Genomic DNA, 11477 nt, shown 5'->3' on the forward strand with positions numbered 1-11477 from the left:
GGACCCCGCAACGCTGAGCTGATGGATGGGCTGAAGGAGGGAGGGAGACCCCATGGGGAGGCTCTGAGCGGGAGGAGGTCACCCTCGCCTGAAAGGGGCTGACTCCGGAAGGCATCAGGTCTATTTGCTGTTGTGTCCCGGCTCTCGGTAAGATAAAGACAGATCAGGCAGACAGTGGCCTGGGGGCAGGGAGACCCCATTTCTCTCTGAAATGTCTGCAGAGAGCCTGGTGCCCACCCCCATCTCAGCCCTGGGGAAATGAGAGCCAGCCTCCTGGGGAGGGCAGTTTCCGTTCCTGTGGGCTGCGGATGAGATAACCCCATGACAAGAAAGACCCAGCCTCTGAGGGGCCACACCCTGTGTGTCTCTCTGTCCTGCCAGCACCAACGGCTCATCCATTTGCAAAGCTGAAAGGAGGCAGAGGAGACGCCATGACCGCCGCCCTCACAGCCTTGCTTTGCTTTGCTTTGGTGAGATTTGAAGAGGAGAGAGGAAACCCCACAGGCCCTGGTCCATCAAGAGATCCCAGGGCTTTAGGGAGCTCCCAGGCAGGGGAGGACTTGCTCAGGCTTCACGGGGCAAATCCCTCACTGGGAATTCTCTTCCAGGGCTGAGTCTGGGCCCCAGGACCCGCATGCAGGCAGGTGAGTCTGTCCCCAGCTCTCCCAGGTCCCTCCTCCTCACCCTGGACAGTTGGGGATGGAGACAGCAGTTCTGGGCAGGCAGCTGGGATGATCTGAGGGGTGGGGAAGGTCTTGGGATCCAGGCTTTGATTTCCTTCCATGTACTCTCCCCAGGCCCACCCTCTGGGCTAAGCCAGGCTCTGTGATCAGCTGGAGAAGCCCCATGACCATGTGGTGTCAGGGGACCCTGGAAGCCCAGGAGTACCATCTATATAAAGAGGGAAGCACAGAGCCCTGGGACAGAACGAATCCACTGGAGACCAGGAACAAGGCCAGATACTCCATCCCATCCATGACACAGCACCATGCAGTGAGATATCAGTGTTACTATCTCAGCCCTGCGGGCTGGTCAGAGCCCAGTGACCCCCTGGAGCTGGTGATGACAGGTGAGAGGACACTCAGGGGTCCCAGCCCCAGGCTCTGCCCTCAGGAAGGGGGTTGGCTCTCAGGGGTGTCTCCCTCTCACAGCCCAGCCCTGGGGATGATGTGGGAGGTGGGAGCCCCATTTAACATGGTGCCTCCTTCTCTCCTAGGATTCTACAGCAAACCCACCCTCTCAGCCCTGCCCAGCCCTGTGGTGGCCTCAGGAGGGAAAGTGACCCTCCGATGTGGCTCACAGAAGGGATATCACCATTTTGTTCTGATGAAGGAAGGAGAACACCAGCTCCCCCGGACCCTGGACTCACAGCAGCTCCACAGTGGGGGGTTCCAGGCCCTGTTCCCTGTGGGCCCCGTGACCCCCAGCCACAGGTGGAGGTTCACATGCTATTACTATTATATGAACACCCCCCAGGTGTGGTCCCACCCCAGTGACCCCCTGGAGATTCTGCCCTCAGGTGAGGGAGCCACGGCCTTCTCTAACACACTTTCCGGACAGCTGACAGGTTGTGGGGAGTTTGGCTGGTGACTGAATCTGGAAAGGACCCACAGTGATGTGTTGATGGATGGGCTGAAGGCATGAGGGAGACCCCATGGGGAGGCTCTGACATGGGAGGACAGAGCTCTCCCCCTGTCCTGGCCCCTGGAGAGACCCTGACCCTCCAGTGTGGCTCTGATGTCGGCTACGACAGATTCACTCTGTACAAGGAGGGGGAATGTGACTTCCTCCAGCGCCCTGGCCAGCAGCCCCAGGCTGGGCTCTCCCAGGCCAACTTCACCCTGGGCCCTGTGAGGGGCTCCCACGGGGGCCAGTACAGATGCTCCGGTGCACACAACCTCTCCTCCGAGTGGTCGGCCCCCAGTGACCCCCTGGACATCCTGATCGCAGGTGAGGAGCCCAGCGGGTTCAGTCAGGGACCCGGGCTCGGCACAGGCATTGCCGGGGGAGCCCAGGTGGTGATGGCCGGGATGAGGGGTGGGGGTCCCAAGGGAGGGAGAGACAGACAGAGACAGGGGATGGGGGGAGGGGGAGACTCAGAAAACAGACACAGAGACTGAGGGTCCCAGGGAGAGGTCTGGGGAGGTCTCAGCTCAGAACAAGGTGGGGCAGCCCCTCACCCATCTGTCTTCTGTCCAGGACAGATCCCTGGCAGACCCTCCCTCTCAGTGCAGTTGTGGCCCACAGTGGCCTCAGGAGAGAACGTGACCCTGCTGTGTCAATCACAAGAGTGGATGCACACTTTCCTTCTGACCAAGGAGGGGGCAGCCCATCCCCTGCTGTGTCTGAGATCAAAGTACGGAGCTCATAAGTACCAGGCTGAATTCCCCATGAGTCCTGTGACCTCAGCCCACACGGGGACCTACAGGTGCTACGGCTCACTCAGCTCCGACCCCTACCTGCTGTCTCACCCCAGTGGCCCCGTGGAGCTCGTGGTCTCAGGTGAGGGCGCTGACCCTGTCCTCTCTGAGCTCAAAGGCTCAGCTCAGGCCCTGCCCCCAGCAGAGCTCTGGACACTAAGGAAAGAGGGGAGTGAAGGGAGAGGGTCCGCAGGGGAGGGTCCAGCCCATGGGAAGATGGAAATAGACAGGGACCTCCCACCCCTGGCTCCCACCCCTGAAGTCTCAGTAGAGTAAAGTGCAGGGAGGGCTGGGAGGAGACGGGGGGTGAACCTCAAAGGAGTTGAGATTAGACTGAGGGTGGAAGACGGAGGCCCCACCTGCTCCCATCCTGGTGTCTCCACCTCAGAATCAGAGCCTCTGTGTCCCAGTCCCCAACAGACGCCCTCCTGGAGAGAGAAGCATCCAGGCTGCCGGTGCCACCTGCATCCACCCCCGACCCCCCCCCACCCCGCCCCACTTCCTGCTTTCCCCTGCAGCCTCCCCAGCACTCAGCGCACACCTGAGCCTCACAGGGACTTGCACGTGCTCCCGCAGCAGCTCAGGGAATGTGCACCGCTCCTCTTCTGCGCCGTTGACATTTTTTATTTGGGTTTTTAAAATCTCATATTGGCCTTTTTGTCCAAGCTGGTGAAAGTAGATTTGCAGCATCACCTATTTTTATTCTCACCCGGTTTCGTAATAGCCCTGATCTCACGTGCTCCCTGAGGTTTTGTAAACTTCAGGTAGAAATGTGGACTTCCTTCGTTCTGGACATTTGCTATGGAGGGGGTAGGGCTTATCTTTTCAGAAAAAGTCAAATGACTGGTACCACTCCTTGAAACCCTACAGCACTTTCCAGACCTCAGAGGGAGGGAGAGAGAGGCAGAGACAGAGACAGAGAGACAGAGAGAGAGATATTGGGGCCGCTCTTTCCTGGCCGGTTCATCCTGGCCTATTCTCAATCCACCAAGGCCCCGAAGCTCATCTCCCCTCCTCCTCTGCCTCCTCCTCCACCCTGTAGACAAGCGGCCATTCCTTTCTGAAGAACAGGCTGAGACCTTTCTGGGACCTGCTCTTTCTGGAGCCTCTGTTGCTCCCTGTCTGGGTCTCCACACGCCTCCTTCCTGGCCCTTTTTCCTATTGAGGAATCAGCTTCAATGTCACCTCCAAGTGTGACCTTCACTGACGACACAGCTCAGCCCAGTCCTGCCTGCTTCTCATTTATGTCAAGTAATTAACCAACCTACACCATGCGGCTGAATTCCTTCTCTCTCTCTTCCACTCTCTGCATATACGTGTGTGTGTGTGTGTGCGCGTGTGTGGTCACACCAACATCTTACGTGACATTGAAACCTAGTTATCCGTATATCTATACAAATAATATATATTCACACATAAATATAGGTCTCTACCAATATATCTAAAACCATTGCTACGACTAGTAAATTTCCACTGCTGTGTTTCTATATGTTTGCTGTTTGTCTCCAGGTGAACCCACACTTCAAGAAGGCAGAGATAGTTTTTAAGGCCCACTATATATATAAAACAGATATATATTTGTGTTTGTGTTTTTCTGTGTGTGTATCACATTCTACCTGTTGCTGCCTATACGAATAATTAGCTACCTAGAGATTAAATGGACAATGAAACTCCAGGTGAAGTGGCTGAGGGCATGAAGGGGAGGCAGCCCCAGAATTTCACCCCTTTGTGCTTCTGACATTGAGGCTCCCCTGATGACTAACCCTCATCCACGGAGCCTGGGTCCTCAGCTGGTGGATCCGTGAAACTCTCATCTCCGGGGGAGTTGGCTCATGTTCTCCTGTGTCCCAGGCTGCACAGAGAGCACACAGGCCTTAGTGACCTCTGTACTGGGGACCACTTTCCTTGCAGATCCTGAGCTCTCAGGATGCAGGAAAACTCTCTCCCAGATGACTCAGGAGCAATGTTTAAATCCATAGAACACAGGAAAACTGAAATCGTTCAATGAGGAGACTAGAGGGAATCCTGCTAGCGGAGGAAGAGGTTTTTTTTTTTTTTTTTTAGAAATTCTGTAAAAGTCACATCATGAGACATTAAGTAATAAAAAAAAAATTGCAGAGCCCAGGTGAGAGGCTGGGCTCAGGTCTCTTTTTCTCTGTTTTGATTCTCTGGAGCAGCTGATACCCTCAGCCCATCACAAAACAAGTCTGACTCTGAGACTGGTATGTGAGGAGATACTCTCAGTGATGGGGCTGGCACTGAGGGTTGGGTCCTGTGAAGGGGAGGTGGGTGCCCTGGGTGGACAATCTGATCCACCCTGACCTCTGTGACCTCTTTGTCCACCATCCCCAGCCTCACACCTTCAGGATTACGCAGTGGAGAATCTCATCCACATGGGCGTGGCTGGCTTGATCCTGGTGGTCCTCGGGATTCTGTCATTTGAGGCTTGGCACAGCCAGAGAAGCTTCCCAAGATGCAGCCGGGAGGTGAACAGCAGAGAGGATAATGTACTTTATAGAGTCGTGAAGCCTCAGGAACAGATCTGATGATCCCAGGAGGTTCTGGAAGAAAATCTAGGGCCGATGCTATCTGGACTGTCTGCTGGTCATTTCCAGAGGAAGGAATCAATGTCCGAGTGCAGGGACATTTTCTGGGGTGATCCATGGAGAACCATTAAAATGTGATACCTTTCCTCTCCATTAATGTTGACTTTCCTTGGTTGGATCTGCCTCTTTTCCCACACTTAGACATGAGGCTCCATCCCACATGGCAGCGTTGGGTCCACACCTCTGCACACCTGCATGCTCTGGTCCATGGCGTGTCACACAGTCCTCTTCATTTCTCATTGCCACACTTCCTGGTGTACTTTACTGGGTCTTCATGTCTTCAGTTCAGAGTTCCGCACCTGGTTTAGGAACTAATTCAACGGGAGAAGATCAGAGTCCGACCAGGAAAAGATAAATGCACCGTGATGCCCTCACCTCCTGTGTGGACCCTATGAGCTCTTCCCTCCTTATCAGATGCTATCTGTGTAGTTTCTCCTGAAATATCACCACCTGGAATCAACACACTGGCATTTGAAGTCACGACCCAATGGTATGCTAATTCTGAAAAAGACATTTTTTGAAATGCTATGATTAGTGGCATTTACCAATTTCCTTGACGTAAATTCTTTTTTCATGGCCATAATCAAGATGCCAACGAGACATCCCTGAATGCAGGGTTGGGAAGCGTTGGACAGACTTGTCTTCACTCATAAGCACCAGGCATCTGATAGCTCACGTATACATCTTATTACCTTCCATTTTAGAGTGAATAATCATTTCTACTTCAGTATTTTGGCACAGGTAAAAGCAGTCCCATTACTGCGCGTATACCCAAAGGAATATAAATCATTCTATTGCAAAGATACATGCACACATGTGTTCATCGCAGCACTATTCACAATAGCAAAGACATAGAATCAACCCAAATGCCCATCAATGATAGACTGGATAAAGAAAATGTGAGACATATACACCACGGAATACTATGAAGCCATAAAAAGAAACAAGATCATGTCCTTTGCAGGGACATGGATGGAGCTGGAAACCATTATCCTCAGGAAACTAACACAGGAACAGGAAATCAAACGCTGCATGTTCTCACTTACAAGTGGGTGCTGAACAATGAGAATGCGTGAACACAGGGAGGGGAACAACACACACTGGGGCCTGTCGGGGGGGGGGTGGGGTAGGGGTAGGGAGAGCATTAGGAAAAATAGCTAATGTATGCTGGGCTTAATACCTAGGTGATGGGTTGACAGGTGCAGGAAACCACCATGGCGCACATTGACCTATGCAATAAGCCCACACATTCTGCACATGTACCCCGGAACTTAAAATAAAAATAAAAATTAAAATTAAATTATGACACCATGATCCTAGCATATCCAAAAAAGACAAAAATGCCAATATCAAATGTCGGAGAAAATAGGGCTGAATTAAAAATCCAATACAACGCCGGGCGCAGTGGCTCACGCCTGTAATCCCAGCACTTTGGGAGGCCAAGGTGGGTGGATCACTTGAAGTCAGGAGTTTGAGACCAGCCTGGCCAAACGTGGTGAAACCCTGCCTCTACTAAAAATACAAAAATTAGCCGGGTGTGGTGGCACTCGCCTGTAGTCCTAGCTACTAGGGAGGCTGAGGCAGGAGAATCACTTGAACCCGGGAGGCGGAGGTTGCAATGAGCTGAGATCATGCCACTGAACTCCAGCCTGGGTGACAGAGCGAGACTCCGTCTCAAAAAAAAAAACAAAAAAAAAAAACCCTCAAAAGCTCAGGCAGCAAAAGCAAAAATAGGCAAATGAGATCATAGCAAACTGCAAACCTTCTGCACAATCAAGGAAACAAACAGCAGAGTGAAGAGACCACCTACAGAATGGGAAAGAATATTTGCAAGCAAGAGATTAATCTCCAGAAAATACAAGGAGCTCAAACAATGCAGAGGTTTTGAAGGATGGTGATGAGAAGGTTCTGCTACTTACAGAAAGGAAGTTTAGGAGAAACAAAACCACAAACCTAGGTGGTGGGATGGCTTGATCTGCTTCTGTCTGTGACTCACTTAACAGTCTTAAACACATCTCCCTAAGCCTCCTTCCCCCGGTGGGATTCCTGGGTCTTGTGAGGACCTCATCGGTCCCTCTGGTAAACCCAGGCACAGAGTGGAGCAGCTCTTGTTTTCTCAGGATCTTCCCCTTCACATACAATTAACGCACCCACACGATGCTACTCTTAGAACCCTTCAAATAAATGTTTCCCGGTTCATTCACTACCAGAATCCAAGCTCAGCTTGTTCCCCAGCTTAGGACTGAGTGGTATCTTGGAGGTAGTTTCCACCATAGCCCCCTTCCTCTGCTATAAGGCTCAGTGACACACCAGAGACACCCCCTCCAGCCAGGCTCCTGGAAGGTCTGGATGAAGACTGGGATGCTGAGGCATTGCTCAGCAATGTGGCTTAACTCAAACTTCTATGTGAAACTTCCAACCACTTTCAGCAAGGGGTCACTTCCAGCGTCTTGGGGTGTGAGGGCACTTTGGTTGGTCCCTGCAATATCAGACCCTATAAAGATCCTACAAACATGTTGCAGACTCTTTGAAGATTCTGGCACTTTCAGACATGCTGTTGGGAAATGGTGACACCCATAACCTTCTAGTTCCAGGACAGGGAGCCTTAGCCCAGGGCTATGTTTTCTGAGGGTCCTCAAAGTAAACAGTTCTATGTGCCAGGAGAACCCTAAATCTCATATGGTTCTAAGGGCAGAAAGCCACACACGCACCGGCAAAAAGCAAGAGATTCAAGGAAAAGCTGAGCAAAGACAGACAGGAAAACACACACATGATGAGCCAGCTTGTAGAGCTAGAACTGAGATGGAGAGAGGCACGAGTGGGTAACAGAGTGTGCTCCCCAGAACAGGTGGAGAGAATGCCTTTTTCATGCCCTGAGGATAGGCTGGGTAAGGCTTGTGCTCGACAGTCAAGGACTATTTTTTTCCCCAGGCGTCTACAAGAGACCTTCCTTCTCAGCTCAACTGTGCCCTGCAGTAAGTAATGATGGAGAGAATGTGACTTTGCTCTGCAGCTCTGGAAGCTCATTTGACCTGTGCCTTCTAACGAGGAAGGTAAGGCCCCTGGACACTGGCTCACTGGGGTGCAGAGACAGAGTGGGGCATTCAGGCCAACTTCTCTCTGGGTCTTGGGGCTGGTGATGGGACCTCTAGATGCTGCAGCTCTCTGTCGATGGCTCTGCCTGTGAGTGATCAGCCCTAGATGACCACTGTTACTGGGGGTAGCCCATGCCTGCTGCATGCCCTGTGAAACACTAAATCATATAGCCACGTCTGAGGGACAGCCTGCTGGAGACATGGGAATCTTAGGGATTCCAGACAAAATGAAGCAATGAGAAACACAAAGAGGAAAAGAGAGGTTGAGTATGACAGTGGTGTCAGGGTGTAGGGTGGTAGACAGGGCAGCTCCACACTCTCCACTGCTTCCTGTCTGGAGGCCCACTTTGGGGTCCTACTTATCCAGGTGAGTGAAGGAAGAGGTCAGGACAAACACAGGAGGTGAAGCCAGATACAGTGTGGGGAGATAAGCAGTGGCCTCAGCCTCTAGCCCTTTTCCATCTTCCAGAAGCCCCTCCTGAGCTCTCATCACAGACAGATTTCCCATTTGGAAACCCAGATATTTATCATGCCGGGGGGGGGAGGCAATGTCTCTTGATTATGGGGACTTTCCATCACCAGGCACCTGCTAGTCCTCTCTATACCTTCCCTTCAGGAAAGGAATTGTCCCTCATGGGATTCCAGGGAAGAGACCCCAGGACCCCTATCAGTCACTAGGGAGATGACAGAGTAGAGGAAGTCAGGGGACCAACCCTCCACAGAGAATGGTCCTACTTCAGTGGGGTGAGGGAAACTCTCACTCATCCATTTGCTGTCCTGTTACCTCGGAACCCTAAGAGAACTTGTTAGTCACACACAGAATCTACCCCTGAATGTGGTGTGCAAAGTGGGGCTCTTAGCCTCCAGTGTGAAGTCCCTGGGAAGATGGAATGTCCCTGTGTGAGTGAAGGCTGTGCCACCGCCCAGCTATGTGGCCTTGGGCTAGGCAACCCCTCCCAGGTCCCCAGTTCCCCATCTGCATCGGAGACTGTGGCCAGTGCGGGAATCCACAAGGCCCTTCAGCCTCCAAAGCTCTGGGACAGAGGCCTCGTCCACAGGGAGGAAGGGGTCAGAGTGACCTGAGTCCCTACTCAGGAGCGAGTCTAATCCACTCTCCATCGGGGCCTGTGGGGAAGGGAAGATGAAGAAACGGAGCCTGCACCTGGCTATGTGGGCGCAGTAGATTAAGGGGAGGATGAGGGTTCCTGAGAGTGTGTCATGTGGCAGAGACCCTGCAGCACACTCAGGAAGGGCTCTGGAAGGATCCAAGGAAATTTTCCAAGAAGAGGGCAGAGTAAGTGACAGAGACCCTCAACCATGGATTTCACTGAGGTGCCCATGATGACATAGGGAGAACGGGGGTGTCTGGGCAGGAAGAATATCGTCAGGGTGAAATGAATGGTGATGAGCTTCGTGTCAGAGCTCCTGTGGAGGGAGGGGCCTGGCCCACATGAAAAGGTCTCTGATCCTACCCCAGCCCCCAGCCCCTGTTCTCCAGGATGACACTGTGGGAATTCCATCAGGAGGGGTGTGATAGGGCTGGTCTTCCTGGCTCGATTCACAACACTGGCTGGGGACTGGGAACCCATGGGGAGCCACAGGTGGAAAGGGAGGAGCCTCAGTGAACCCAGCAGGAACAAACATAGGGTCTGACATGATGGAACTCACTTCCTGGAGGCCAAGAAAGACACTTGCGGGACAAAAGGGAAAGAGCGGTGGCTTGCTTAGTTCCATTCACTGACAACCCACAGGAGATGTCCAGTCCTTTTTTGATTTATTATTTTATTTTATTATATTTTATTTTATTTTATTTTATTTTCACATGGAGTTTTGCTCCTATTGGCCAGGCTGGAGTGCAATGGCACGATCTTGACTCACTGCAACCTCCACCTCTCAGGTTCAAGCGATTCTCCTGCCTCAGCCTCCTGCATAGCTGGGATTACAGGCGACTGCCACCACAGCCAGGTAATGTTTGTATTTTTAGTAGAGATGAGGTTTTGCCATCTTGGCCAGGCTGGTCTCAAACTCCTGATCTCATGTGATCCGCCTGTATCAGACTGCCAAAGTGTTGGGATTACAGGCGTGAGCCACCACACCCAGCCTTTTGTATTTTTAGTAGAGATGGGGTTTCACCATGTTGGTCAGGCTGGTCTTAAACTCCTGACCTCAGGTGATCCATCCACCTCGGCCACCCAAAGTGCTGGGAGTACAGATGTTAGCCACCGTACCCAGCGAGAGTTTCAGTGCTCTATCGGATTCCCTGCCTACTCCATGTTGCATGTAATGTTCCACCTCAGGGATGTTTCTCTCCTTTCTGTCTCCTTCCTCTTCTCCTTCTCCTTTTTTCTTTCTAATTTTTATTTTTTTGAGACAGAGCCTTGCTCTGTTACCCAGGCTAGAGTACAGTGGCACGATCCCAGCTCACTGCAACCTCTGCCTCCTGGGTTCAAGAGATTCTCCTGACTCAGCCTCTCAAGTAGCTGGGATTACAGGCACCCGCCATCACACCCAGCTAGTTTTTGTATTTTTAGTAGAGACGAGGTTTCACCATGTTGGCCAGACTGGTCTTGAACTCCTGCCCTCAGGTAATCCACCCGCCTGTGGCCCCCCAAAGTGCTGGGATTACAGGCGTGAGTCACCACTCCCAGCCCTGAATGATCTTTCCTCTTTAGTGTGTTCTCACAACCACCTCTCACTGAGCTTTCTTGTTTTTTGTTTTTGTTTTTGTTTTTGTTTTTGTTTTTGGCAGAGTCTGGCTTTGTTGCCTATGCTGGAGTGCAGTGGTGCAATCTCAGCTCACTGCAACCTCCGTCTCCTGGGTTCAAGCGATTCTCCCACCTCAGCCTCCTGAGTAGCTGGGATTACAGGCACCCACCACCACACCCAGCTAATTTTTGCATTTTTAGTAGACACAGGGTTTCACCATGTTGGTCAGGCTGGTCTCGAACTCCTGACCTTGTGATCTGCCAGCCTCAGCCTCCCAAAGTGCTGGAATTACAGGCATGAGCCACCACTCCCAGCCCTGGATTATCTTTCCTCTTTAGTGTGTTCTCACAACTACCTCTCACTGCTGGGTTTTCTCTCTTTCTTTTTTTTTTTTTTTTTTTTTTTTTTTGAGACAGTCCGGCTTTGTTGCCCAGGCTGGAGTGCAGTGGCGCGATCTCGGCTCACTGCAAGCTCCACCTCCCAGGTTCAAGCGATTCTCCCACCTCAGCCTCCCTAGTAGCTGGGATTACAGGCGCATGCCAGCACACCCAGCTAGTTTTTGTATTTTTAGTAGAGACAGGGGTTTCACCATGTTGGTCAGGCTGGTCTTGAACTCCTGACCTTGTGATCTTCCTGCCTCGGCCTCCCAA

At 52.0% G+C, this 11477-nt stretch overlaps 1 pseudogene; it reads left to right on the top strand.

The window, feature by feature from the left end:
* On the top strand, window positions 600–2503 carry LILRP1 (leukocyte immunoglobulin-like receptor pseudogene 1; annotated as a pseudogene).

Source organism: Homo sapiens, chromosome 19 (genome assembly GCF_000001405.40).
Source record: "Homo sapiens chromosome 19, GRCh38.p14 Primary Assembly".
In the NCBI taxonomy this organism is placed as follows: Eukaryota; Metazoa; Chordata; class Mammalia; order Primates; family Hominidae; genus Homo; species Homo sapiens.